This window comes from Homo sapiens, chromosome 6 (assembly GCF_000001405.40).
Source record: "Homo sapiens chromosome 6, GRCh38.p14 Primary Assembly".
NCBI lineage: Eukaryota > Metazoa > Chordata > Mammalia > Primates > Hominidae > Homo > Homo sapiens.
In genome coordinates this window covers 43,613,490-43,641,031 of record NC_000006.12, presented here as the reverse complement: position 1 = coordinate 43,641,031, position 27,542 = coordinate 43,613,490, and the positions used below count along the sequence as shown (strand labels likewise).

Sequence of the window (27,542 nt, the reverse complement as noted above, 5' to 3'; positions counted from 1 at the left end):
AATTCGAGAAGCCCTGAAGCAGAAGAGGCCAAGGAGAAAGACAAAATAGCCTAAAACCTGACAAGTTAAGTCAAAACAATTTCAGGAAAATATAATAAGAATCTATTTATTTTATATTTAAGTTCATAAGTCACATCCACATTATGTTCCTGGTAAAAATTCTGAAAGGACACAGCAAAGAGCAGAAAGGGACACCTCCATAGAGTGTCTATGGACCCATTTTTGCTTTCCAACTCCTAATAGAAATGCCTGACCCAGCACCCTCTGGGAAAATCAACCTTTGATTCAAAGAGATGTTGTTCAGCAATGATTACAGTCACAGTCACAGCCACATGCCATCAGCCTATCAGGAAATCTGAGGGGAGGCAGACAACCAGAAGGAGAGTTGCTTCCTCTCTCACCAGGAAGCAACTCTAGCTCCAAACCAGATGGGTGATTCAGCGCCACATGGAGAAAGATAATTCAGCCATTGTGTTTTTAGGATTAAGAAGCACTCATTCACTCGCGGAAGCCTTTAAATGTCACTGGTGCCTGGAACCAAATGTAGTCTTCCCAAGCCGTGGTTCGGATGGAAGGTCTGCCACATGACAGGGTCACAGTCAGTTTATGGCCCCGGCTGGGCACTCGATAGTTGAGCTTGGGTCGAAACCAATCTTCTCCACAGTTGCGGTGTCCCTGTGCCATGACGACGGTGCCCATGAGTGGAGGAGCCTGAAGCTCGCTAAAGGCATCAGCCATGAATATGGCTCGGAAGAGACGGCGCAAACAAGCTGCTGTGCTCAGGCTCTGGTCCACGCTGTAGGGGGCCAGCAGAGACAAGTCGAGTTCATAGAACTCCTTGGGGCTTAGGGCATTGCCCCCAAGGAGAATCAGCACTCGCGGTACTAGTGTCCGTGCAAAGAAGTCCTCCAGGTGGCTGAGGACACTCTCCAGTTCTGCCAGGGCTTGTTGGCATTTCCTGCTGCTCACCTCAGTGGTGGCCCGAGGTTTCTTCTTCAGCATCTCCTCTGCCTGTGAGGACAAAGAATGGTGGGAGAGAAGAACAAGGCAGGGGGAAGCTAATGCTCTTTGAAAAGAACCCTGCTGGGATGTGTACATAGACTTACAGGACTTAATTTCTAGCTCAATGAACCGCCACAGCCAAAACACTGTGTTTTATCAGAGGGTATTATACTGAAAAGGAAAATATATTATTTGTACAAAACCATAATTCTCCCACATTTAGAACAGCAAACACAGTGTTCTGAAGGTGGAGGATATCCAGATATAAGCAACTAAAATAGAAATTTGGTGACATGACAAAGTGACAACAAATTTTTGCTGTATGGGGAGTGATAACAGGAATGAGGATTATTTGGTCTAATAAACATGACTTTGAACTTGTTCTTCCACTTAAACATAGTAAACTGAACACATGCTTATTTGCACTTCCACCTGAAATATTACAAAATGAGAGAAAAGAAATTAAGAAACAAATGAAGGAAAGAAGAGGAAAGACTGACAAAGAAAACTCCCAAGAGGAAAGAACTGGAAACTACACAACACTAGCCAAATGCAAACACAGAAGTTTTGGAAGATAGAAGATGAAGAGTTGGCTGGGCGCAGTGGCTTACGCCTGTAATCCCAGCACTTTGAGAGGCCGAGGCGGGCGGATCACAAGGTCAGGAGATCAAGACCATCCTGGCTAACATGGCGAAACCCTGTCTCTACTAAAAATACAAAAAATTAGCCGAGTGTGGTGGTGGATGCCTGTAGTCCCAGCTACTAGGGAGGCTGAGGCAGGAGAATAGCCTGAACCCAGGAGGCAGAGCTTGCAGTGAGCTGAGATCACGCCACTGCACTCTAGCCTGGGTGACAGAGCGAGACTCTGTCTCAAAAAAAAAAAAAGAAAGAAGATGAAGAGTTAAGAGTTCAAGAGAGCTGAATACCAAGTGCTGACAGAAGGGACCCCCAAGGGATGCAAACTGATCCACACAGCAGAACCCCAGAAAGGTTTAGGAAGTGGTGATACAGGCACCACAGAGGCAAGAGTGAATATAGGGGAAATGAATGAAAATCTGTGTGAAGATGCTTAGATCATCTGCCAAATTTCTCCCCCATCCAGAGGGAAGACTTTCCAATCCCCACAAAGAGATCACCAGGTTCCCACCTAATCTCCTTATAGTGAAGTCTATCAGCTCATAAGGCCCAGGCATGCACACACAGCTTGCAATGATTTATTCTTTTTTTTTTTTTTGAGACAGAGTTTCGCTCTTTCGCCCAGGCTGGAGTACAGTGGCGCAATCTCGGCTCACTGCAACCTCCGCCTCCCGGGTTCACACCATTCTCCTGCCTCAGCCTCCCGAGTAGCTGGGACTACAGGCGCCCACCACCACGCCCGGCTAATTTTTTGTATTTTTAGTAGAGACAGGGTTTCACCATGTTAGCCAGGATGGTCTCAATCTCCTGACCTCGTGATTCGCCTGCCTCAGCCTCCCAAAGTGTTGGGATTACAGGCGTGAGCCACCGCGCCCGGCCAATTTATTCTTAAATATTCACCAGACACAGAATAAAACTCTCCAACATGAAAGTCAAAGTCCAGAACAAAACAAATGGGGAATGGATTCTAGAAGAAACTGAGATGCCGCAAGGAACAAAGAAAAACTTAAAAATTCAATAATTAATATCCTCAGGCAAAAGAAGTTCATGGCCTGGCGCAGTGGCTCACACCTGTAATCCCAACAACACTTTGGGAGGCTGAGGCAGGTGGATAACCTGAGGTCAGGACTTCGAGACCAGCCTGGCCAACATGGTGAAACTCCATCTCTACTAAAAATACAAAAATTAGCCAGGTGGGCCAGGAGCAGTGGCTCACGCCTGTAATCCCAGCACTTTGGGAGGCCAAGGCGGGCGGATCACTTGAGGTCAGGAGTTTGAGAGCAGCCTAGCCAACATTGCGATACCCTGTCTCTACTAAAAATACAAAATTTAACCAGGTGTGGTGGCACATGCCTGTAATCCCAGCTACTTCGAGGCTGAGGCAGGAGAATCGCTTGAACCCAAAGTGGAGGTTGCAGTGAGCCGAGATCGCTCCACTGCACTCCAGCCTGGGCCACACAAGAGCGAGACTCCTTCTCAAAAAAAGAAACAAACAGGCGGAGCACGGTGGCTCATGCCTGTAATCCCAGCACTTTGGGAGGCTGAGGCAGGCGGATCACCTGAGGTCAGGAGTTCAAGACCAGCCTGGCCAACATGGTGAAACCCCGTCTATACTAAAAATACAAAAATTAGCTGGACATGGTGGCGCATGCCTATAATCCCAGGTACTCAGGAGGCTGAGACAGGAGAAGCACTTGAACCTGGGAGGCGGAGGTTGCAGTGAGCCAACATGGCACGACTGCACTCCAGCCTGGGTGACAGAGTGAAACTCCCTATCAAAAACAAACAAACAAACAAAAAATTAGCTGGGTGTGGTGGTGCATGCCTGTAATCCCAGCTACTGGGGAGGCTGAGGCAGGAGAATCACTTGAACCTGGGAGATTGGGGTTGCAGTGAGCTGCGATCATGCCACTGTCCTCCAGCCTGGGTGACAAGGCGAGACTCTGTCTCAAAAAAAAAAAAAAAAAAGAAGAAAAAAGAAGTCCATACAGAAATTAAACAACAGGATGCTATTAAAGAAACATGCAGGCCAGGCGCGGTAGTTCACGCCTGTAATCCCAGCACTTTGGGAGAGGCCAAGGCGGGCAGATCACTTGAGGTCAGGAGTTCGAGACCAGCCTGGTCAACATGGTGAAACCCCGTCTCTACCAAAAATACAAAAATAAGCTGGGCATGGTGGCACGTGCCTGTAATCCTAGCTACTGGGGAGGCTGAGGCATGAGAATCGCTTGAACCTGGGACATGGAGGCTGCAGTGAGCCGAGATCACGCCATTGCATTCCAGCCTGGGCAACAAGAGAGAGACTCTGTCTCAAAACATAAAATAAATAAATTAATTAAAATACAAAAATTAGCTGGGTGTGGTGGCAGGAGCCTGTAATCCTAGCTACTCGGGAGGCTGAGGCAGCAGAATCGCTTGAACCTGGGAGGCGGAGGTTGCAGTGAGCTGAGATCTCGCCACTGCACTCTAGCCTGGGCAACAGAGCAAGACTCTGTCTCAAAAGAAAAAAATGCAAAGAGCCAGTTCATTAAGTCCAAATGCAACACGTGAGTTTCAGAAAGAAAGAACAGTTGAAAAAGCCAGAAGGGTTAGGCTACCAAAGACTAGAGTGGGGAGAAAGTGACCGAAGCCCTGGAAGCTGCTTATTCTCTCAGGCTTTGAAGATTTCTTAGACCCCCTTTCTACCTGCCTCCCATCTAAGAGCCACAAAGTCTTCCCACCAACTTGCTCCCAAAGCCTGTGCCTACCTGGGGAGAAGGTTTTCGGTAAAAGTGCTTAAGCTGTTCATAGGGCAGAGGGAGCTGCTGGCGTTGATACATGATATGCTTTAGAAGTTCACAAGTAAACTGACAGCAGCCTTCCTGGCTCACAGGCCCAGGAAACACCACTGGTACCATGCAGTCTCTTGGGCAAAAGGCCTCCGAAGCGTTGAGAGGTTCCTGCGTAGAGCTTGTCTCAAGTAGTTCTATCTGGGAGGCGTGAGTTTCTTCGGACTTCTCATACCACTCCAAATCTGGTAGATGAAAAGAGGGACAAGAGAGAAAAATTAAAAACCTAAAAGCCAGTCAGTCTTCTCATTCCCTGTGGCCGACAAACCAGCCACCCTGAAAAAGCAGGCACTCCGACATACGCCCATATCCTCCGCAGCCTACAGTATGGGCCGTGGCAGGGAGAGATTCCTGATCCCTGTTGCCTGAGGAGATTTAATCGACTGCAAGATAGTGGGGGGATTTCGGAGGGCTCCCCGCTCAGAAAGCTGCGGGACTTGATCTGGGGAAATGAGTCAAAAGTGTAGTCAAGCAGGGTCCAGTGCGACCCAGGGCGATGGAGTCACAGCCAGAGCCGTGTAGGACACCCGGAAGACAGGGAAGACGGGCTAGGGAGAGGACCAGCGGATAAACGAATGGATGGCGCGGCGGTAGGGAAGAAACAAGTCCCCAAGGCTCCCCAAACTCTTGGCCCCACGCCTTACCAGGGACTGCGGCTGAGGACAGAACCTCCGCCTCCGGCGCCGCCATCACGACCTCCCCTCCGCTACTCCTTGCGGTTAGAATAAAGGTCTCGCGGGGCATCATGGGAAGCCCGCGCCTCCACTTCCGGCTCAGTTGGGTCGGAAAAAAGGCGCGGCGTCGCCGCAGTGTGGGGGAGGTTAAGTGGAGCTGGGATTTGAACCCTGCGTTCCTCCTTTAACACCCTGGCAAATGTACGCCTAACCCTTGCCCAGCAGGGAACCCAGGAGTTCTCAGCCACTGAGCGCTGCTTTCTAAAAGACACCAGCCCTCTTGCATCTATTCACTCCAGCATTCACTACTCACTGTGCACCTACTTCGTGCCAGGCCCTGTCCTAGGTGCTGGAGACAGCGGAGAACAAGCCAGGCGCGGGCCCCGTGCTCAAGGGGTTCACTGCCTGTAGATACAATACAATGTGATGAATTATACAGAAAAGTGTACACGGGGTGTGGAAGTGAAAAACAAGGGTGGCTGACCCACAGAGGGTAGGGGCTGGGAAGGAGTGGTCCCAGAAGAAATGTGTGAAGCTGTGACCTGTAGGATAAGTCAACAAGGTAAAGAGGAGGGCCTAGTGCTCCTGGAGACCTTGAGACAAGAGCATACTCTGTACAAGGAATGAAAAGAGTTCATATTATAAAGAGTTAAGGCTGTAGTGAATAACAGGAGCCAGATCATGGCAGGACCGTATAAGCCACGTGAGAGTTTGGACTTGATCCTGTAGGCAGATGGGGAAGCCTTGAAAGGTTTAAGTAGGAGAGTGGCATGATTAAATTTACATCTTATAAATTTAATCTCTACCCTGGCTGCAGGATAGAGATTGGATTACAGAGAGGATAAGAGAGGAGGCAGGGATACCAGTTAGAGGTAGTGCAATTACCCGAGTACTTGATGAAAGCAGCCTAACCTAGCGTAGTCACAGTGGGGTGGAGATAATTGGGTAAACTCGAGATATTTAGGAGGTCCAGTGAACATAACTTGGGGATTGATTTACAAGGAGGAGGAGGAATAGAAATAGACTGAGAAGAGGCCAGGCACGGTGGCTCACGCCTGTAATCCTAGCACTTTGGGAGTCCAAGGCAGGTGGATCACGAGGTCAGGAGTTTGAGACCAGCCTGGCCAACATGGTGAAACGCTGTCTCTACTAAAAATACAAAATTTAGCCAGACATGGTGGCATGCACCTGTAATCCCAGCTACTCAGGAGGCTGAGGCAGGAGAATCGCTTGAAGCCGGGAGGCGGAGGTTGCAGTGAGCTGAGATCGCACCACTATACTCCAGCCTAGGTGACAGAGTGAGACTCCATCTCAAAAAAAAGAAAAAAAGAAAAAAAAGAAAGAGACTGACAAGAAAACAAGCAGGTTTCTGACTTCAGCAATTGTATGGGAAATTGTACCATTCAATGACAGAGGGAAGCAGGGTGCCGAGGCCAGGAGTTCAATACCAGCCAGGACAAGATTGGGGACCCTGTTTCTGCAAAATTAAAAATTTTTTTTTAAAGTTAGCCAGGTGTGGTGGTGCACAACTGTCGTCCTGGCTATTCTGGAGGCTGAAGCAGAGGATTGCTTGAGTCCAGGAGTTCGACACTTACAGTGAGCTATGATCATGCCACTGCACTTCAGCCTGGGCAGCAGAGCAAGACCATGACTCAAAAAAAAAAAAAAAAAGAAAAAAAGAAAAAAAAAAAGGATGGAGGAAACACTAAAATAGGAAATAAGACCAGGTTTGTTGGGGTGGGAGGTGAGTAGGAGAAAAGATGAGTTCAGCTTTTCACAGATTGAATTTGACATCTCCATAGGATAATGAATAGAGATATTTAGGAATGCCATTTGCAATAAAGGTATGTATTTAAGAGCCATCAGCATGTTAGTGAATAAGATCACCCAGGGAGGGTGTAGAATGAGAATGGGCTAGGATATTGAAGACACTAATGTTTAGGGGATGACCAGAGAGACAGAAGCTATGGAGAAGACTAAAGAGTACCCACAGGAGGATAAAGAAAAATAGACAAATGGCCGGGCAAGGTGGCTCATGCCTGTACTCCCAGCACTTTGGGAGGCTTAGGTGGGAGGATTGCTTGAGCCTGGGAGGTTGAGGCTACAGTGAGCTGTGATCGCACCACTGCCCTCCAGCCTGGGTGACAGAGGGAGACCCTGCCTCCAAAACCAAAATAGACAAGTGGGGCCAGGCATGGTGGCTCATGCCTGTAATCCCAGCACTTTGGGAATTCAAGGCAAGGGGAGTGCATCAATCCAGAAGTTTGAGACCAGTCTGGGCAACATAATGAGACCTTGTCCCTACCAATAAATAAATAAATAAATTAAATAAGTGTCAGGTCATGGAGGCCAAGAAAAGGGCGTGTTTCAGGAAGTAGGGACCAGAGGTCAAAACACACTATAAAAGTACAGCAATTAGAGGCCAGGCACAGTGGCTCACGCCTGTAATCCCAGCACTTTGGGAGGTCGAGGTGTGCAGATCACCTGAGGTCGGGAGTTTGAGACCAGCCTGACCAACATGGAGAAACCCCGTCTCTACTAAAAATACAAAATTAGCCAGGCGTGCTGGTGCATACCTATAATCTCAGCTACTTGGGAGGCTGAGGCAGGAGAATCCCTTGAACCTGGGAGGCGGAAGTTGTGGTGAGCTGAGGTCATGCCATTGTGCTCCAGCCTGGGTGACAGAGTGAGACTCCGCCTGGAAAAAAAAAAAAAAAAAGTACAATGATTAAAATACTGGGTCTGACTGGGCATGGCAGCTCCAGCCTATAATCCCAGCATTTTGGGAGGCCGAGGTGGGAGAATTGCTTAAGGGCAGAGGGATTGCTTGAGTCCAGAAGTTTTTTGTTGTTGTTTGTTTGTTTGTTTTTAGATGGAGTTTTGCTCGTGTTGCCCAGGCTGGAGTGCAATGGCGTGATCTTGGCTCACTGCAACCTCTGCCCCCAGGGTTCAAGCAATTCTCCTGCCTCAGCCTCCCAAGTAGCTGGGATTACAGGTGCCCACCACCACACCCAGCTAATTTTTTGTATTTTTAGTAGAGATGGGGTTTCACCATGTTGGCCAAGCTGGTCTTGAACTCCTGTCCTTAGGTGATCCACCTGCCTCAGCCTCCCAAAGTGCTGGGATTACAGGAGTGAGCCACCGCACCCGGCTGAGTCCAGAAGTTTAAGACCAGTCTGGGCAACATAGTGAGATCTTGTCTCTATTAAAAAAAAAAAAAAAAAAAAAAGACAAGTGTCAGGTCATGGAGGCCAAGAAAAGGATGTGTTTCAGGAAGTAGGGACCAGAGGTCAAAACATACTATAAAAGTACAATGATTAAAATACTGGATCTGGCTGGGCATAGTGGCTCACGCCTGTAATCCCAGCATTTTTGGGGAGGCCAAGGTGGGAGAACTGCTTGAGTCCAGGAGTTCAAGACCGGCCTGAGCAACACGGCAAACCCCTTCTTTACAAAAAATACAAAACTTAGCCAGGCATGGTGGCATGCCCCTGTAGTCCCAGCTACCTGGGGGGCTGAAGTGGAAGAATCACTCTCTAGGGTTGGAGGTTGCAGTGAGTCAAGATTGTGCCATTGCATTCCAGCCTGGGTGACAGAAGGAGACCCTACCTAAAAAAAAAAAAAAAAAAAAAAGTCAATCAATCAATCATTTTCTCTCTTCCTCCTCCTCGCCACCCTTAAAAAATAAACAGGGCCGGGCACGGTGGCTCACACCTGTAATCCCAGCACTTTGGGAGGCCAAGGCAGGCGGATCAACTGAGGTTGGGAGTTCGAGTCCAGCCTGACCAACACGGAGAAACCACCGTCTCTACTAAAAACACAAAATTAGCCGGGTGTGGTGGCATATGCCTGTAATCCCAGCTACTCAGAAGGCTGAGGCAGGAGAATCGCTTGAACCCGGGAGGAGGAGGTTGCCGTGAGCCAAGATCGCGCCATTGCACTCCAGCCTGGGCAACAAGAGCGAAACTCCATCAAAAAACAAACAAACAAACAACAACAACTTCTGGACTCAAGCAATCCCTCTGCCTTTAAGCAATTCTCCCATCTCGGCCTCCCAAAATGCTGGGATTAAATAAATAATAAATAGATAAATAAATAAAATAGTAGGTCAGGTGTGGCAGCTCATGCCTGTAATCCCAGCACTTTGGGAACCCAAGGCAAGAGGATTGCTTGAGCCCAGTTCAACACCAGCCTAGGAAACACAGGGGGACACCATCTCTACAAACAATAAAAACAAAAATTAGCTGGGCATGGTGGCTCGCACCTGTAGTTCCAGCTACTCCAGAGGCTGAGGTGGGAGGATCTGCTTGAGCAGGGGAGGTTGAGGCTGCAATGAGCTGTGATCACACCACTGCACTTCAGCCTGAGTGACAGAGGGAGACCTTGTCTCAAAAAATAAATAAAAATAAAAATAATCCATGTATATGAAGGGACACATGTTATCAGACAAGTGCAGCAGGCTCTGGTTATCAAGAGGGCCCAGGGCTGGTCATGGTGAGAATGTTGGGAGAATGGTCTTATCTCTTCCTTCCAATTCTCATCCTTCTTGAGATCTCTCACTGAGTTCCCTAGTCTCTGTCTCTAAGCAGCAGTTTCCCTAGTAGGCCTGTGCCCCTGGCTAGCATTGACCTCTACGGCATAACCTTTCCTTCAGTGGCACAGGACTAAGAAAAGTCACATGTGCTTTCAACCACTGAAGACCCACATAATTGGCCTATGGTCAGCTAGGCCCTTTTGCAGATTTTGGTCTCTCTGCTCTCACTGCTTTGGGAAATTATGCTATGTGGACAGCATGATCAGTAAACCTGCCTCCCTCCTTGTGGCCCTGGGAGGAAGCCATGGACTCTACCAAGTCTGAACCCCTGAAGGGATCACCAGAGGTAAGTCATTATTGCTGCTTCTAGTTTTCCAAGGACAACTGAGGTCTGGAGAGAAGAGTTGCTTAATTTCTTTTTCTTTCTTTTTTTTTTTTTTTTTTTTTTTGAGACGAAGTCTCGTTCTGTCACCCAGGCTGGAGTGCAGTGGCATGATCTCAGTTCACTATAACCTCTACCTCCCGAGTTCAAGCGATTCTCCTGCCTCAGTCTCCCGAGCAGCTGGGACCACAGATGTGCACCATCATGCTGGGCTAATTTTTTTTTTTTTTTTTTAGTTGGAGTCTCGCTCTGTTGCCCAGGCTGGAGTGCAATGGCGTGATCTCGGGTCACTGCAACCTCCGCCTCCCGGGTTCAAGCGATTCTCCTGCCTCAGCCTCGCGAGCAGCCGGGATTACAGGCATGCGCCACCACGCCCAGCTAATTTTTGTATTTTTAGTAGAGACGGGGTTTCGCTGTGTTGGCCAGGCTGGTCTCGAACACCTGACTTCAGGTGATCCGCACACTCCTTGGCCTCCCAAAGTGCTGTGATTTACAGGCGTGAGGCACCGCACCCGGCTGAGTTGTTTAATTTCTTGACCGTGTATGAGCACCTCGCAGTTCGAGAAGAGGGGAGAAGTGGACACACTGTGAGTGGTCTGAGTCATGAGACAGCCATGCGGCTGTGAATTGAGCCCTAGCGTCCTGACTCGCAGCTCAGCAACATAACTGCTTTTCCACCCTGCCTTTCTGTGTTCTGTGCACTGGCTTATGTCGCTGAATGTATGTACTCTGTAGAGTGCAACAGCACTAAAGAGCTGGAGATTGCTTCACAAGAGAGTCAAAAGCCAAAAATCCCCTGTGGCCCTAGGCCAAGTTTCTATTCCCGGCCACTGCCCCGCCCTCGTGGTGGTTGGTGTAACCCGAGCCCTAGCCCCGCCCGAAGTAGGGGCCAGGCCCCTCCTACAGTCTTGGCCGTTTAAAACCAAACTCAGTTCTTCCCGATTGGTTCTGCTTCAAAACAAAGGGGAGGAGGAATACTCGCTTTGGGTATGCTTGCAGCCTTCGGGGAGGAAGCTGGTTTACGGGTTCGGGTCTCGTGTCGGGGCCACCGCGGTGCCTCCGGTTATTAAAACCAGCCCCTGGACGGTGCCAGCCTGGTAATAAAGCAGTGACTACTATGTAAAGGTAGCATAATCATCCCAACAATAACAGCCGTAATTTGGCTAATCACCATCCGCCTCCGCCCTGGCGTTCGCCCTGACTCACCCCAGCGGCACGCGGGCCATAGGGGAAGAAACTGAGGCAGAGGCGGAGCCAGCAGGCTGGCGGCACCAGTAGCCTCAGTTCTGCAGCTCTCGAGGTCCAAAACCTGTTGTCTAGGATCCGCGCTAAAGGGCCAAATCCCGGAGCGCCCACAAAGCTCGATTCTGATGTAAGCTCTTCTACGCTGGTGTCCTCGCGTCCCCACCCCAGGCCTCGAGGCTCTAAATTCCCCCCAAGTCCTAGAAAAAGAACATAGCGCGAGGACTGGAAGTCAGACTACAGCTCCCTTAAGCCTTTGCGCGCCAAGGCGCGCTCCTTCCCCACGCCTCCGACGACTCCCGCGGCCACTTGCGCCGCGATGCCTCCTGGGAGTTGTAGGGCGGCGACGTGTCATTTAAGTGAATTCCCAGGCCTGGGGACTCTATATCCCGTGGTGCCCCGCGGCTGTTTCTGACGCGACCCGGAGGCCAGGGAGGTGGGGGGCGTAGCTTGTGCAGAGCCCCACCCCACTCTGCTCAGGCCGGCCGGACACGGCAGTGGCAGTAAGGGCGGCGGCGACGGCGGCGGCGGTCGGGGGAGGGGCCGGGCGGGGGGCTGGCGGCAGCGGCGGATGGACTCGCGGGTATCGGAGCTGTTCGGCGGCTGCTGCCGGCCCGGAGGGGGCCCGGCCGTGGGCGGAACCCTCAAGGCTAGGGGGGCCGGCAGCAGCAGCGGCTGCGGGGGGCCAAAGGGAAAGAAGAAGAACGGAAGGAACAGAGGGGGCAAAGCCAACAACCCCCCGTATTTGCCCCCCGAGGTGAGCACCTGAGAAGTGGTAGGGCGGGAAGAAGCCACTCTTTCCGGCCCAGGACTCTAGGGAGGCGGGACCCAGATAATTAATCTCCCCTTCCGGTGTCGAGACCCCAGGGAGGAGGGGCACGGGAGGAGAACACCTCTTTCAGGTCCCGGGACCCCAGGGAGGAAGGGCAGAGACTGGACTCTCAGGTGACAGGACCTCAGGGAGGAAGAGTGGAGAGGGAGGACTCCCCCTTCTGATCTAGATTACCCCAGGAGAGAAGTAGAGAAAGGGGATCCCAGGAAGAGCACCCCGACCAACTGCGTGTGCCGCCATAGGGCAAGAGAGACTGCATCCTGGGACGAGAGGCAGACAGTAACCACCACTTCTTCTAAACTTGTTCCACAGGGAGAAGGGGAGTACCCGGGAAAAGAGCAATATGTTCCACACGGACACACACACAGTACTCGGGAAAAGAGCAGTATGTTCACTACACACACACACACACACACACACACACACACACAGCCTAAGCCAGTGGTTATCAAACTTTGGCATGTATCGAATCACCCGGATTGCTGGCCCCCAACGCCTGGCCAATTTTATTTTTTTATTATTTATTTATTTATTTTTTTTGAGACGGAGTCTCTGTTACCCAGGCTGGAGTGCTGTAGGGCTATCTCAGCTCACTGCAACCTCGGCCTCCCGGGTTCTCAAGCGATTCTTCTGCTGCAGCCTCCCGAGTAGCTGGCATTACAGGTGCCCGCCACCACGCCCAGATAATTTTTGTATTTTTAGTAGAGATGGGGTTTCACCATGTTGGCCAGGCTGGTCTCAAACTCCTGACCTCAGGTGATCCACCCGCCTCGGCCTCCCAAAGTGCTGGGATTGCAGGCGTGAGCCTCCGTGCCCAGCCTAGAATTTCTGATTCTTTCTTACTAGTGAGGATGGGCCTGAGAATTTGCATTTCTTATAAGTTCCCGTGTGATACTAATGCTGCTGGTCCCAGGACCTCACTTTGGGAACCATTGGTCTGGGCCCTAGACTGTCATTCTTGTACCACATTTTTTGAAGCCACCCATCCCCAGAAAAATGATTAAAAGGTTTTTATTGATGGGGAAAAAAAATAATCTCCTTAACACACCATGAAGTGGAGATTATGAGTGAAGACCTGTTAGGGCCTGGGAGCCAGACAGCCTTGAAGGGATGGAATGATAGGAAGGGAAGAGGAAAACTAAAATATCCAGAGAGGCGGGTAGAAAAATGCAGACTGGCCAAACAGGCAAATCCCATATCCCTTTGTACCTGGGAGGGGAAGCCTCAGGTAACAGGGTGCTTCTGTGCTGTGCTACCCACTGGAGCTAGAAGAGACTGTGGGGTGGATTCAGGATTTCACCTCCACTGAGGTTAGGGGGCAAGAGGTAAAGGCCATAGCGAGTCTGTCCGCTTCATTACATTTTCTGAGTTTTTCTGTTCCTCTCAGCCCCAGCTTTGGAGCTCTTCTCCTCTCTCACCTAGATCTTCTCGGTCATCAGGCTTGTAGTGACCATTGCTGAGCTCACCCTTTGGCTCTGATCCAGAACCTCTTGCAGCCTCTTACTCTAGATGACATCAGCTGAAAGGGGCAGGCAGGGAGGAAATGGTGTTTCCTAGACCAGTGACAAAGAAAGGTTTTAACAGCCTGGGCACAGAGGAGACATAGACTTCTGGGAAAAGCAGGTTTGAGGCCCTGGAGGTGGGGAGGAAGGGATGATCTTGCATCTAGGAAGAACGTGCTGCCAGTGATCAAAGAATGGATTGATTCAGTGTTCTGTTCCTGGCTTAAATGGGTGACTCCTTGTGTCCTTATAGGCCTTCCCTTCATAGAGGCTATGCTGGGGGTGAATAGAGGATCTTGTCTGCCACTGACCTTTGACAGGCACTTGCCTAACCAAGTGCCAGTGGGGCTTCCTGCTTTCTCAAGTTAGCTACCTGGACCCAGTGGGAATTGAGGGGAAGTAGGGATTGGGTCTGTACAGTGTATGGTAACTGCTCACTGTTTCTTTTCAGGCTGAAGATGGAAACATTGAATATAAAGTGAGTCCTAGGCTGGGGAAAAGCAGGGGCTGGGGTAGGTTGTCCTTGCCAGTGTGGGATAATTTCTTTTTTCTTTCTTTCTTTTTTTTTTTTGAGATGAAGTTTTGCTCTTGTTGCCTAGGCTGGAGTGCAGTGGCGCAATCTCAGATTCTCCTGCCTCAGCCTCCCAAGTAGCTGGGATTACAGGCATGCGCCACCATGCCTGGCTAATTTTGTATTTTTAGTAGAGATGAGGTTTCTCCATGTTGGTCAGGCTGGTCTCGAACTGCTGACCTCTGGTGATCCACCAGCATGGGATAAGTTCTCTGAGAGCCTTCCAACTTCATAATTATAGCAGTTTAAGGATATGGTTCAGGTTAAGGGCTCTGTACCTCGTTCTGTTGGAGGGGGATCAGGTATGAGTTTAAGTGGAAAGAGAAAGTCCTGGTCCTTGCAGCAGAACAGGTGGGGACCATGTAGGTTTGGGAGGAACACCTCTGATTTCACCTTATGATACCCCACTTGCCCTAAGTTGAAGCTGGTGAATCCATCCCAGTACCGCTTTGAGCACCTGGTGACACAAATGAAGTGGCGGCTCCAGGAGGGACGTGGTGAGGCCGTCTACCAGATTGGGGTAGAGGACAATGGGCTGCTGGTGGGGCTGGCTGAGGAGGAAATGCGAGCTTCGCTCAAGACCCTGCACCGGATGGCAGAGAAGTATGCTTCCCCTTCCCCACCAGTTCTCCTTTACCTGACTTGGGGGGACCCATGCATACCCAGTTACCTAGGGCCTGAGGGGCCAAGGTGGGACTTTCCTTCTCTTGACAAAGGGCTGAAGTGGGGAGGGTTAGTGTTTTGGTCCCCTCCTCACTGGACCTAGGCTGTTTTGCTCCTTGAATTAAGATATGTATATTTGTTTTAAAGGGAACTGTGAATGAGGAATAGATTGGAGGGTGGTAGGAAGTGCACTAAGGTATTGGGAGCTCTGTGGGAGGTGCAGGAAGTCTGTAGGTCCAGAGCGAGCCTGGAATAGGAGAAGGACAGGTGAGATATGGCAGCTGTGGCCTTGCTGTGACAGGGTTGGGGCAGACATAACCGTTCTTCGAGAGCGAGAAGTGGATTATGATAGCGACATGCCCCGGAAGATCACCGAGGTGCTAGTACGAAAGGTCCCTGACAACCAACAGGTGAGCACACACCCATCCCTGTCTCTCATGTCCACACTGTGGAAGGGCCCTGTGGTGGCAGGCTGTCTCCTGGCCTGGGATCCTGGGGGCTTCCAGTTCATCACTTGCTCCCTAGGGAGCGTCACTGCCCTTGACCCAGTCTTCAGTTAGAGGGGTGAGAGATTGGAGTTCTTATCTCTGGCAATTCATCCACAGTTCCTAGACCTCCGTGTGGCCGTCCTGGGGAATGTGGACTCTGGGAAGTCAACTCTGCTTGGAGTCCTGACCCAGGGAGAGCTGGACAATGGGCGGGGCCGGGCTCGGCTCAACCTTTTCCGCCACCTGCATGAGATTCAGTCTGGCCGAACCTCCAGCATCAGCTTCGAGATCCTGGGCTTTAACAGCAAGGGAGAGGTGCATGGGATCAATGGGACCCAATGGGGCCAGACTCTGAGGATGGGATGGTAGTAGTGAAGGACATAGGATGGGGGTAGAGTGTGGAGACTTTTTGAAATAGTATAGATGAATGCCCTGAGGGGACTGTGAACAAGCTCTGCCCCTCTTAGGAAATCAATGGGGAATCAACTAAATTAAATAAAAAATGGGGTCAAGATTAAGAGGCAGGGTCACCCAGGGAATGGTTTAGGTCCTGGCAACTCTGAAGGGGTTGGAAGGGCTGGCAGGAGGCACTGAGGGCCCTGGGCCCTGGGCCAGGTGGTGAATTACAGCGACTCACGGACAGCAGAAGAGATCTGTGAGAGCAGCTCCAAGATGATCACCTTCATCGACCTGGCAGGCCACCATAAGTACCTACACACCACCATCTTTGGCCTCACATCATACTGCCCCGACTGCGCCCTGCTCCTCGTCAGTGCCAACACTGGGATTGGTACGAGGCATTAGGGCAGGGACAGGGCTGAAGGGGGGTGCTGACTCTCCTACCCTGGGCCTCAAATCTTGGAGACAGACCAATGCTCCTCTTCTTCCCTCTCCTCCCTCCTGCATTCTCACTCTTCTCTCCTGCTGCTTGCTGTCCTTATGAGGCAGCTGGCACCACAAGGGAACATCTGGGGCTGGCCCTGGCCCTGAAAGTGCCCTTCTTCATCGTGGTCAGCAAGATCGACCTATGTGCCAAGACCACAGTGGAGAGGACAGTACGCCAGCTGGAGCGGGTCCTCAAGCAGCCTGGCTGCCACAAGGTCCCCATGCTGGTCACCTCTGAGGATGATGCCGTCACTGCTGCCCAGCAGTTTGCTCAGTCACCCAAGTAAGCCCACCTTACTCTAAAGCCCTGATCCACTAGGAAGGCTGCCACAGAGCCCAGGGCCCAGAAGCATGATATCCTACTTCTCCAGGGCCAGACCAGTTCTGGCTTAGTTCTGCGGGTGTTTCAGCTTGGGATTGTGGAGGGGCATCTTGCTAAAGGGCTTGACCCTCCTCCCGAGCCAACCTGGAGCACTGCTGATGCCTGGGACCATGGCGATGAAGTGCTATACCAGGCATTTGCTGTTTCCCTTGGGCTCGGATGGGCTTTTTGTGTGACATTGCTCGACTGGCTCACAAGAAGGCCCAGAGTTCCTGAGCCATTTGCAGACAGGAGAGAGGGGCCCCCAGCCAGAACAAAGCTCACCTTTCCATGTATGGGGCTCTGGCCTCTGCCTCCTGTTTGGACTGTCTTCATCTGTCCATTCCATGCCTCCCTCTACAGTGTCACCCCCATCTTCACATTGTCCAGTGTGTCTGGAGAGAGTCTGGACCTCCTCAAAGTCTTTCTGAATATTCTGCCGCCACTCACCAACAGCAAAGAGCAGGAGGAACTCATGCAGCAGCTGACGGAGTTCCAGGTAGTTGACTGCCCAAACATCTAATAGGCTGGGAAACAGGGAGGGGCTGCTTCAGACCAAACCCAGAGTCTGTTTAGAGATTTTGGACCCACCAGCCCTACTTGGCAGGCCATTGATAGCGTTTTCTTTGGCTTCAGGTGGATGAAATCTACACAGTACCAGAGGTGGGGACTGTTGTTGGAGGAACACTTTCCAGGTAAATTGTCTTGCTTGCTACCCTCCCCACTCAGCCCTCACCTATATACTCAAAGACATCCTGGCCCAAAGGAGGAGACCCTGGAATTGAACGGAACCCATTTAAAGGACATGCTTATTTGCAGATTAGGCTTTCACTATCAGAAGAGCTGGAGAACGGTAGTCTGTTGGCTTTGGAGGGAAGAAACAGTATTGCTGCCTATTGGGGAATCTCCAGGCCCCTGAGAGAGAAGTGTGGGTCTTGAGCTCCAGGAAGAAAACTAGAGTGTATTCAACTGACTTCATCTCACACAGGGAAATGAGAGACGTCACTTAAGACTCTTCTTTCTTTCTTTCTTTCTTTTTTTTGAGACAGAGTCTCGCTCTGTTGCCCAGGCTGGATTGCAGTGGAGCGATCTTGGCTCACTGCAACCTCTGCCTCCTGGGTTCCAGCAATTCTCCTGCCTCAGCCTTGAGTAGCTGGAATTACAGGCGCCTACCACCATGCCCGGCTAATTTTTGTATTTTTAGTAGAGATGGGGTCGTCACCATATTGGCCAGGCTGGTCTTGAATTCCTGACCTCAAGTGATCCACCTGCCTCAGCCTCCCCAAGTGCTAGGATTACAGGTGTGAGCCAACGCGGCTGGCCTAAGACTCTGCAAAGCAGAGAATGAAACCCAAGGGGATAACTTGCTCCTTCAGTGATTAGGTGTTCGGTGTTGTTAAACCAGCAAGTGTCTCTCTGTCCACCATCACTGCTGGCCTTTTATGAAATTAGTCTTCTGATTCTGAACTCTGGCAGTGAGCCCTGTTACATCCAAGTCAGAATTTAGGGTTCTTCCCCACTTGAGGGACTCAACCCTAGAAGGGAAGGAATGCTCTGGGTGATCCTAATAGAGAAGTAGGTATGGGGACCTTGGCTGACACTGTGCCACCTGCCCTCTGGGCTGCAGTGGGATTTGCCGTGAGGGGGACCAGCTGGTGGTGGGCCCCACGGATGATGGCTGCTTCCTGGAGCTGAGAGTATGCAGCATCCAGCGCAACCGCTCTGCCTGTCGTGTGCTGCGAGCTGGTCAGGCTGCTACACTGGCGCTTGGGGACTTTGACCGTGCACTGCTTCGCAAGGTGAGGTGGGTGCATGGGTTGGGGAGGGAACGCTAAGAGAAGTGCCTAGGAGACTGGCTACTGAATGAGCACCTATCTAAGGTGCTTCAGAGAAACTCAGAGGAAACACACTCTCTGACCCAAGAAGCTTCTGGTCTAGCTACGTAGACTATAAAAACAGCTTAACGTACTCATGAGGTACAGATAACTAAATATGAATCACTATGTTACACTGTTTTTAATGAACACTATTTTTAGTGTTCAGGACCCTAAAAATGTGAAGCGTTAGATGGGCTAGAGGACGTAGGAGGTGGGTAAAGACTCATTCCCTCTGAGAGTTTTGATTATTGTCTTTTGAGGTCTTTGTGTTTAGAGTTGTGTAGAGGAAGAGGAAATTCAGGAGCTATAAAGGGTGTGGGGTGGCTGGGGAGGGAGAGTCTGATGTTAGAGCTGCCCTTCCTGGGCCTGGGGTCTGTTCCTCCCCAGGGCATGGTGATGGTGAGCCCGGAGATGAATCCTACCATCTGCTCGGTGTTTGAGGCAGAGATAGTCTTACTGTTCCATGCCACCACCTTCCGACGAGGATTCCAGGTGACAGTACACGTGGGCAACGTACGTCAGACGGCAGTGGTGGAAAAGATCCATGCCAAGGTGAGAGGGACCTGGCCTTCCATTTCTCCAGAGGTCAGAAAAGAGGGAGGCCTGCCCCAGACTGGCAGAGAACTCCTTGATCCCACAATGGGAATAAAACCCCACTTAGGGTGGGTAGCGGCCTGATAGGCCTCTGGAGGGTGGAGAGCCACGGCTGGCAGAGAATGGGACAGAAGGCACTGGCCAGGGGAGTGACCACTTATTTGCTGCAGGACAAACTGCGGACAGGCGAGAAGGCAGTGGTACGTTTCCGCTTCCTGAAACACCCAGAGTACCTGAAGGTGGGCGCCAAACTGCTGTTCCGGGAGGGTGTCACCAAGGGCATCGGCCATGTCACTGATGTACAAGCCATTACAGCAGGAGAAGCCCAGGCCAACATGGGCTTCTGAACCCTTCAGGCAGGGACAGTTCTATTGCTGTCCCTACAATATATAAGGTGACTTCTGGCCATGCTGCCCTGCCATTGGCGGCTCTGTGTGTTAATAGGCTAGGGAGAGAGGGGTGCTGTCTGCCACTTGCTCCCTGCCAACTTTCTGGAGAGGTGCCAAACTTGGTGTGGCCAGGAAAGGGCAGTCCTGAGGGAGAAGACAGGATTCAGGGCAGTGCTCCGAAGCTGTGTGCTCACCTGGTTGGCTCATCAAACCTGGCAACCCTGTGGCCTGTCTGCCGGAGCTGACTGGATCCACTCATCAATTCTTCGTCCCCACTACTAAGACTGGGCATGTTTTGCTGGTGTGGTCTCTGCACTTCAGGAATGGTCACAACAGGGGGTAGCCCTCAAAAGCACTCCTTTTTCTATACCTCTTCTCAAGGCCATGTAAGTTGCCCATCTCTACCTGGCTGTGGACAAAAGGTTATCTGCTCTTGGCCATCTGGTGGTGGTGGCGGCCCAGAGTCTGAAGAAATGGCACAGGGACAGTGAATGGTAGTGTTGCCACCCTGTGCTGAGGCCTGAGGCCTCTTCCTCAGCTTTATCTCCCTTTCCTTCACTCAAGGGCCATTTCCCCAGTCCCTATCTCCCCCATCCCCTCCCGGCTTATAGGCCCCACAGGTGCTATTTGTTGTGCTGGCCCAGGCGTGGGGCTACCAAGCAAAGGCTTGGCATATACCAAAGGCCAGCTGCATGCCCATCAGTCTGGTCTTTTTCCTCTGCGGTCATGTTGGCTTTCATGCTGGATCAAATGTTTTACTTTCCCAGACTGGTGGCATCTGAGTTCCCCATCCTACCACTCTCACCCCACTTTCCTGCCCCACCTAAACCCTCGTTTTAGTAATTTGTAGTGACTGTTCCCTTCCCTCTGTTGCAGGGAACCAGGAGGAAAGGGAAAGATGTTGCCATATTTCCTACTCTTTAGGCATGGACTCTCCTTTCCCTTTGTTAGTGTCCTGGGTTCCCATGGACTCAGGGATTTGTTGGCTAAGGTTTCTCTGTGCATATATATATATATACATATGTATATATATTTAAATACACATATATATTGTACAGAATAAAAATGTTTTATTGAATACACTGTGCTTATGCGTTAGCTACAGGCTCAGCTTCCTTCCAGGGCTAGATACCTCTTCAGGATTAGAGACAAGTGAAACCCCAACACTGCTGAGCCCTGAATGTGGAAAGAGCCCAGCTGGTATCTCGTTCACCATTGTTTTTCTCTCCTCCACATAGGTTCAGAGTTCCAGTATTGTAACCAAGTATTGTGGCCTATTTTCCGTAGTTCAAGTGAGCAGAATACTGAGGCCTTTCACGTGAAATAGGTAGCTACCCTGTATTTGAAGAGTTGGCCACTTGCTAGTGGTCAGAATAGTAAGGAGCCCACTTCTGTGCCCTGGCAGAGATACAGTGCCAGCTACTTAAAGAAGAGTAGAATTTAGAGACAAAAGGTAATCTGGTCCCATATTTTTCAAGTTTACATAGCCTAAATTACTCTTGGAACAATGAGGGCCACTTGACCAAACCTTAGTCCCTGCTCCTGTTTCCATGTTCATACTACTTGATTTTGACATTTTATGGGTAAATAGGGGCCAAAGTCAACTGTAAATAGAAACTGCATTTTGAGGAGACCCTGGAAAAGAAATATGTGACCCAAAGTCCTATGTGGCATTCTGCCTCTAGAGTATTAAAGTGATAGCTTCCCTACCACTCAGGCTGTTTTATAAAATGTAACTGGTTTAACTTGCTACTAACAAGCCTGTAGTTGAACAACTTCCTCCTGTATTAGGGGCTAAGCTGTTTACTTCCTCTCTATAGCTGCTGATAGAGATGAAAGCTTTGTCCACAATTTACTTATCTTTTGCCTGTATTGTAAAGAAAATTTTGGAAAATCACATTTCAGTACTTAATAAGACATCTCCAGGAACTAGTGAGCCTCTCTGCAACATTAATGGAACATTTAGGGGGATAAAAAGTATATAAGGCAGACTCCCAAGGAGTTTATACATGTTTATGATCCCAATTGTGGTAATCAGATCTAAAATTCTTCACTATATACATTCATCCAATGAGTATCAGCACCTATCATGTGCAAAGCACTATGAAGAATCTTTGCCTTTAAGAAGCTACATAGCTAGTTAGGGGGAAAAGGCCACGTATACAGTGAATGTAGTCTTTTTTTTTTTTTTTTTTTTTTTTTTTTTTGAGACAGGGTCTCAGACTGTCACCCAGGCTGGAGTGCAGCGGCACAATCATGGCTTATTGCAGCCCCAAACTCCCAGATTCAGGTGATCCTCCCAACCTCAGCCTCCTGAGTAGGTACGACTACAGGCATAAGCCACCATCTTTGTATTTTTTGTAAAGACTGTTTTGCCATGTGGCTTAGGCCGGTTTTGAACTCCAGGGCTCCAGTAGTCCACCCACCTCAGCCTCCCAAAGTGTTAGGATTACAAGCATCAGCCACCGTGACTGGCTAAATATTGTCTTTTATTAGATATTCAAGTATCATAAAAGCAGAAAATATTTTTGAAGAAAAAAATTTCCTGGTAAATCTAGTGGTTTTCAAATCTTCCCCACCTCTTCAAACTAAATATAGAACCCCCCCCCCAATTTATAAATAAAATAAAAAGTAGAAGTTGGGGCTGGCCTGGTGGCTCAGGCCTGTAATCCCAGCACTTTGGGAGGCCAGGGCGGGTGGATCACTTGAGATCAAGAGTTCAAGACCAGCCTGGCCAACGTGGCGAAACCCCATCTCTACTAAAAATACAAAAATTAGCCAGGCGTGATGGTGCATGCCTATAATCCCAGCTACTCAGGAGGCTGATGCAGGAGAATCGCTTGAACCCGGGAGGCGGAGGTTGCAGTGAGCCGAGATCGTGCCATTGCATTCCAGCCGGGGCGATGAGAGAAACTCCGTCACATAAAAAAATAGAAGTTTGGGTATATGTATGGGAGGGATGTGTACACCATTCTCTGGGCCCACTTCACCCAGCGCCACCTACTTCAGTTCATTTTCTTCAGTTGGGTTCCCTGTGTAATTCAAGTTTCCCCATAACAGAAAAGCCAAAAGAGCTGACTTTTCACACACAAGAGTGGAGAATAAGAATACAGTACTATAGGCTGGGCGTGGTGGCTCATGCCTATAATCCCAGCACTTTGGGAGGCCGAGGCGGATGGATCACGAGGTCTAGATAGAGACCAGCCTGGCCAACATGGTGAAAACCTGTCTCTACTAAAAATACAAAAATTAGCTGGGCATGGTGGTGCACGCTTGTAGTCTCAGCTATTCGGGAAGCTGAGGCAGGAGAATTGCTTGAACCCGAGAGACGGAGGTTGCAGTGAGCCAAGATTGCACCACTGCACTCCAGCCTGGCTACACAGCGAGACTCCATCTCAAAAAAAAATAATAATAATACAGTAGTATAAACATGGACAAGTGCAAAAAGCTACATAACAAATTTTAAACCCTAAGCTAAATATTTACACTCAGTGGGAAAGATGAACAAGCCAGTAACCCTAATGGCTGAAGCACTTACCTCTTAAATTTGTACTTAAGGGCTTAAGAAAATGTCCTCTACACACCTGGTCATTAGTATCTTTTAGATCAGCATTTCTCAAACTTTAAGATACACATTGGGAATTTTTTTTTTTTTGAGACAGTCTTGCTGTGTCGCCAGGGTGCAGTGCAGTGGCACGATCTGGGCTCACTGCAAGCTCCGCCTCCCAGGTCAAGCAATTCTTCTGCCTCAGCCTCCCAAGTAGCTGGGACTACAGGCGTGCACCACCACGCCCAGTTGTATTTTCAGTAGAGACGGGGTTTCACCATGTTGGCCAGGATGGCCTTGATCTCTTGACCTCGTGATACACCCACCTCAGCCTCCCAAAGTGCTGGGATTACAGGCATGAGCCACTGCACCCGGCCCACATTGGGAATTTTTTTTTTTTTAAACAGTGTCACTCTGTTGCCCAGACTGGAGTGCAGTGGCACAATCTCAGCTCACTACAACCTCTGCCTCCCAGATTCAAGTGATTCTCCTGCCTCAGCCTCCTAAGTAGCTGGGATTACACGCATGCGTCACCACACACACCTAATTTTTGTTATTTTTTGTAGAGATGGGTTTTCCCCATGTTGGCCAGCCTGGTCTCAAACTCCCAGCCTCAAGTGATCCGCCCACCTTGGCCTCCCAAAGTGTGGGATTACAGGCATGAGCCACCACACCTGACCCACATTGGGAAATCTTGTTAATATCAGATTACAATTAAGTGGGAATAGTGGTGAGGCTGAGACTATTTCTAATAAGTTCCCTGGTGATACTGAGGCTGCTGTTCCTCAAATCATACTTGGGAGTAGCAATGTTCTAGAGATGATCTAGTGGGTTTTTTTGAGACAGAGTTACTCTATCGCCCAGGCTGGAATGCAGTGGAAATCTCGGCTCACTGCAACCTCTGCCTCCCAGGTTCAAGTGATTCTCCTGCCTCAGCCTCCCAACTAGCTGGGATTACACGCACCCACCACCATGCCCGGCTAATTTTTGTATTTTTAGTAGATACAGGGTTTCGCCATGTTGGCCATGCTTGTCTTGAACTCCTGACTTCACGTGGTCCACCTGCCTTGGCCTCCCAAAGTGCTGGGATAACAGGCATAAACCACCACGCCTGGCAAGATTTGATTATGACTTATCAGATCTAAACAGAGTTCCTGAACTAGTCAAGTAGCAATCTAATTCTACATTAGAACAAAACGCAAGAGATAGGCCAATGGTTAGAACTGAGGGTATAATAGGGTTTACCTGTATGAAATTCACTGTTTATTAAGTCACTTTTATGTACAGAAAGACCTGCCCTAGTTACCATATCACTTTTAGGGTTTCAAGGCTTCATCTCACATTCTTCAGCTGAAAACAGGTAAATCTGGTGAAGGTATTATCTGAACTGCCCGTCACAGAGCTAGAGAGAAGTTTTTCTTTTGTTTTTTTTTTTTTTGAGACAGTCTCTCACTCTCACCCTGGCTGGAGTGCATTGGTGTGATCTCAACTCACTGCAACCTCCACCTTCCAGGTTCAAGCAATTCTCCTGCCTCAGTCTCCCGAGTACCTGGGATTACAGGCGCCTGCCACCAAGCCCAGCTAATTTTTTTTAGTAGAGACGGGGTTTTGCCACCTTGCCCAGGCTGGTCTCGAACTCCTGAGCTCCTGCAATCCACTCACCTCAGCCTCCCTAAATGCTGGGATTATAGGCATGAGGAACCGCACCCAGCCTAAAGAGAAGTTTTTCTTTTTTTTTTTTTTTTGAGACGGAGTCTCGCTCTGTCACCCAGGCTGGAGTGCAGTGGCGCGCTCTCGGCTCACTGCAAGCTCCGCCTCCCGGGTTCACACCATTCTCCTGCCTCAGCCTCCCGAGTAGCTGGGACTACAGGCGCCTGCCACCGCACCCGGCTAATTTTTTTTTGTATTTTTTAGTAGAGACGGGGTTTCACCGTGGTCTCGATCTCCTGACCTTGTGATCCGCCCGCCTCGGCCTCCCAAAGTGCTGGGATTGCAGGCGTGAGCCACTGCGCCCGGCCAAGAGAAGTTTTTCTTAAAATCCTTTTTTTGGGGGGGCCAGGATCGGTGGCTAACATCTGTAATCCCAGCAACTTTGGGAGGTCGAGGCAGGCGGATCATGAGGTCAAGCAATCGAGACCATCCTGGCCAACATGGTGAAACCTCATCTCTATTAAAAATACAAAAATTAGCTGAGTGTGGTAGCACGTGCCTGTAGTCCCAGCTACTTGGGAGGCTGAGGCAGGAGAATTGCTTGAACCCAGGAGACGGAGGTTGCGGTGAGCTGAGAACGCACCACTGCATTCTAGCCTGACGACAGAGGGAGACTCCGTCTCAAAAATAAAAAATAAAAATAAAAATAATCCCTTTTTTTTTTTTAACTATGCAAGTCTCATTACATTTAAAACCCTTTTTTAAACTTGGTCCCTTTTCTGTGCCAACTTTATGTTTGTTTTTGTTCTTGTTTTTGTTTGAGATGGAGTCTCGCTCTGTTGCCCAGGCTGGAGTGCGGTGGCGCGATCTCAGCTCACTCCAACCTCTGCCTCCTGGGTTCAAGTGATTCTCCTGCCTTAGCCTCCTGAGTAGCTGGGATTACAGGCGTGCACCACCACGCCTGGATAATTTTTTTTGTAATTTTAGTAGAGATGGGGTTTCACCATATTGGTCTGAAACTCCTGACCTCGTGATCTGCCCGCCTTGGCCTCCCAAAGTGCTGGCATTACAGGTATGAGCCACTGTGCCTGGCCCCTATTTTTTATTTTCTGAGATGAAGTCTCGCTCTGTTGCCCAGGCTGGAGCGCACTAGCATGATCTCAGCTCAATGCAACCTCCGCCTCCAAGGTTAAAGCAATTCTTCTGCCTCAGCCTCTAAGTAGCTGGGATCACAGGTGCCTGGAACGTGCCTGGCTAATTTTTCTATTTTTAGTAGAGATGGTTTTGCCATGTTGGCCAGGCTGGTCTCAAACTCCTGACCTCAGGTGATCTGTCTGCCTCGGCCTCCCAAAGTGTTAGGATTACAGGCGTGAGCCATTGTACCCGGCCGAGTTACATAATTTGAATACATTGTTATTAATCTGCAATAATCTGTAAGGTATTATCTCCATTTTACAGATGAGAATGTGAAGAAAATGACTTGTTCAAGGCCCTCATTGCAATAACCAGAGCTAAGTTTGCAACCACGTCTCTTAGACTCCAAGGCCCACACACTTTTTACTTTATGACACTGCCTCCCTAAATGCTAAAGATTAAAAACTCTGGTAGGATGAATTTTTACATCTCTGTCAGCAGTGGGATTAGAATCCATGCCTGTGAAGAGATGGGACCGTAACTCAGCACCTAAATGGATTATTTTTTGTATTAAAAATTTCATAATTCCCTTTCTCAGGGAAATCTGTAAAGATAAAATATTAAAGATAAAGATCTGTAAAGATAAAAAATATTAAATCCTACAGGCAAGCCTGAGGGCAGCACTAATGTGTTAATGGCTTAAAAAATGATTCCAATGTTTGCATGCCCTCAGGCCTGGGGCGTTTATTAGTGCAGGCCAAAGGGCTCTTGGGATTTCTTTTGCCTTGATGAGATACGGCAGAAACAACCTGGGGGTTTGAAGAGTGGGGCTGCAAAAAGGATTTCTGCAACTCCAATGCAAAATGATAGTCCATGTGTTCTGGCATATCCCATACCGGTACCAGGGAGCCACACTTCTCACAGGGCACTTGGTCCTCAGCAGCTAGAAGACTTGGATTTGGGGTTGCTTTCTGAGTCACCTCCAGCACAGATTTGGAAGCTGAAGAGGCGTGCATGCTTTGGCTGTTGTGGGCCAAATCCATCTCTGCAGGAGTTGCTTTAGAGGATTCTTCTAGCTTCGACACCCCTTCACAAACAGGGACACACCCTGGATACTCTGTTGGTAAAGAGTTTGGTAATGCTTTACAGTTGGACCATGGGTTTTGTTGGGGGGAAGAAACTGAAGAATTATTAAGCTGTTTCTGCTTTAGAAGCAGACTTTTCTGCTTAAAGAAGGGCTCAGTTCCTGTACTTTGACTGGTTTGAAAAGGTAATGAGGGCTTGGATGGTGAATTGCTCATGGGAGCCTGAGTGGGAGCAGTAAGAGATGAAAGCGAAGCTTCTTTAACTTTCTGCCTTTCTGCAGCTTTTTGGAAGAATGATTCCAGAGACGTGGTTGCTTTCTTAGTGGCTGTCACCGCTGGGCCACTTCCCTGGGTCTTAGCTTCTGAGCTGGTAACTGGCACCTTTGGCAGAGAACTTGGGTCACTGCTCAAGAAGCTGGTGATGTCTGTAGAAGATGAAGGGGCAGAGGCAGAAAATTTTGTAGCACAGAGGAAAAGCATTGTGAGAGGAGGAGACCTATACAGAAAGTAAAGAAATAAGATGATTAGCAATTTAGAAGATTAAAATAGTGACCTATTGCTAATTCCATGAATTGTATCTGTTTTATTTCACCATAGGACAGATTTAATCCATAGATGACTAGCATTCTGGTTCTGCCACAGAAATTATTCTTTACTGCAGTGGTT

At 49.5% G+C, this 27,542-nt stretch overlaps 3 protein-coding genes across 12 annotated transcripts in view, besides 6 other annotated features; 1 reads left to right on the top strand and 2 right to left on the bottom strand.

The window, feature by feature from the left end:
- Positions 91 to 11,492, bottom strand: MAD2L1BP (MAD2L1 binding protein). Of its 2 annotated transcripts, NM_001003690.2 has the most exons (4): positions 11,263 to 11,492; positions 7,717 to 7,838; positions 4,386 to 4,651; positions 91 to 1,011 (listed from the first exon to the last, which is right to left on the bottom strand). In NM_001003690.2, the coding sequence occupies exons 1-4, from the start codon at positions 11,280 to 11,282 to the stop codon at positions 499 to 501; spliced, it is 921 nt and encodes a 306-aa protein (NP_001003690.1). In that variant the 5' UTR covers positions 11,283 to 11,492; the 3' UTR covers positions 91 to 498. The 2 variants fall into 2 exon arrangements, with proteins under 2 accessions (NP_001003690.1, NP_055443.1); NM_014628.3 differs by lacking the exons at positions 7,717 to 7,838; positions 11,263 to 11,492 and adding an exon at positions 5,111 to 5,192.
- Positions 2,640 to 3,426: an enhancer, noted in NCBI's record as "H3K4me1 hESC enhancer chr6:43605343-43606129 (GRCh37/hg19 assembly coordinates)". NCBI's record gives its function as "activates a minimal SCP1, AML or CMV promoter by ChIP-STARR-seq in primed H9 embryonic stem cells {active_cell/tissue: H9 hESC(primed)}" and the evidence as "EXISTENCE:reporter gene assay evidence [ECO:0000049][PMID:30033119]".
- Positions 3,427 to 4,214: an enhancer, noted in NCBI's record as "H3K4me1 hESC enhancer chr6:43604555-43605342 (GRCh37/hg19 assembly coordinates)". NCBI's record gives its function as "activates a minimal SCP1, AML or CMV promoter by ChIP-STARR-seq in primed H9 embryonic stem cells {active_cell/tissue: H9 hESC(primed)}" and the evidence as "EXISTENCE:reporter gene assay evidence [ECO:0000049][PMID:30033119]".
- Positions 9,699 to 20,538, top strand: GTPBP2 (GTP binding protein 2). Of its 6 annotated transcripts, XM_047418938.1 has the most exons (13): positions 11,768 to 12,055; positions 12,443 to 12,515; positions 14,084 to 14,110; positions 14,622 to 14,806; positions 15,168 to 15,276; positions 15,472 to 15,669; positions 15,970 to 16,144; positions 16,303 to 16,522; positions 16,964 to 17,099; positions 17,237 to 17,295; positions 18,228 to 18,399; positions 18,865 to 19,029; positions 19,242 to 20,538. In XM_047418938.1, the coding sequence occupies exons 2-13, from the start codon at positions 12,474 to 12,476 to the stop codon at positions 19,416 to 19,418; spliced, it is 1,665 nt and encodes a 554-aa protein (XP_047274894.1). In that variant the 5' UTR covers positions 11,768 to 12,055; positions 12,443 to 12,473; the 3' UTR covers positions 19,419 to 20,538. The 6 variants fall into 6 exon arrangements, with proteins under 6 accessions (XP_024302244.1, XP_047274894.1, XP_024302246.1 ...); XM_024446476.2 differs by lacking the exons at positions 11,768 to 12,055; positions 12,443 to 12,515 and adding an exon at positions 9,699 to 10,020; XM_024446478.2 differs by lacking the exon at positions 12,443 to 12,515 and having other exon boundaries at positions 11,768 to 11,801.
- Positions 10,739 to 10,958: an enhancer, noted in NCBI's record as "active region_24606". NCBI's record gives its function as "activates an Ori minimal core promoter by ATAC-STARR-seq in GM12878 lymphoblastoid cells {active_cell/tissue: GM12878}" and the evidence as "EXISTENCE:reporter gene assay evidence [ECO:0000049][PMID:35858748]".
- Positions 11,579 to 11,758: an enhancer, noted in NCBI's record as "active region_24605". NCBI's record gives its function as "activates an Ori minimal core promoter by ATAC-STARR-seq in GM12878 lymphoblastoid cells {active_cell/tissue: GM12878}" and the evidence as "EXISTENCE:reporter gene assay evidence [ECO:0000049][PMID:35858748]".
- Positions 11,819 to 11,958: a silencer, noted in NCBI's record as "silent region_17238". NCBI's record gives its function as "represses an Ori minimal core promoter by ATAC-STARR-seq in GM12878 lymphoblastoid cells {active_cell/tissue: GM12878}" and the evidence as "EXISTENCE:reporter gene assay evidence [ECO:0000049][PMID:35858748]".
- Positions 11,979 to 12,058: a silencer, noted in NCBI's record as "silent region_17237". NCBI's record gives its function as "represses an Ori minimal core promoter by ATAC-STARR-seq in GM12878 lymphoblastoid cells {active_cell/tissue: GM12878}" and the evidence as "EXISTENCE:reporter gene assay evidence [ECO:0000049][PMID:35858748]".
- POLH (DNA polymerase eta) overlaps positions 20,509 to 27,542 on the bottom strand; it is a 44,339-nt gene continuing 37,305 nt past the window's right edge. For 3 of the 4 annotated variants that reach the window (NM_006502.3, NM_001291969.2, XM_047418900.1), the window contains one exon: positions 20,509 to 27,372. In NM_006502.3, coding sequence (NP_006493.1) covers positions 26,475 to 27,372 — 898 coding nt within the window. In that variant the 3' untranslated portion in view covers positions 20,509 to 26,474. The remainder of the gene's footprint in view (positions 27,373 to 27,542) is intronic. The other variant, NM_001291970.2, reaches the window with a different exon arrangement.

Coding starts and splice junctions, on each gene's coding strand:
- MAD2L1BP (NM_001003690.2), bottom strand. CDS start 11,282: ATGGCCCGCGTGCCGCTGGG. Junction 4,652..7,716: donor CCAAGTAGCTGAGATTATAG/GTATGCACCAGC, acceptor TTCATCTACCAG/ATTTGGAGTGGTATGAGAAG. Junction 1,012..4,385: donor ACCGAAAACCTTCTCCCCAG/GTAGGCACAGGC, acceptor TTGTCCTCACAG/GCAGAGGAGATGCTGAAGAA.
- GTPBP2 (NM_019096.5), top strand. CDS start 11,870: ATGGACTCGCGGGTATCGGAGCTGTTCGGCGGCTGCTGCCGGCCCGGA. Junction 14,111..14,621: donor ATGGAAACATTGAATATAAA/GTGAGTCCTAGG, acceptor ACTTGCCCTAAG/TTGAAGCTGGTGAATCCATC. Junction 16,145..16,302: donor CAGTGCCAACACTGGGATTG/GTACGAGGCATT, acceptor CTTATGAGGCAG/CTGGCACCACAAGGGAACAT.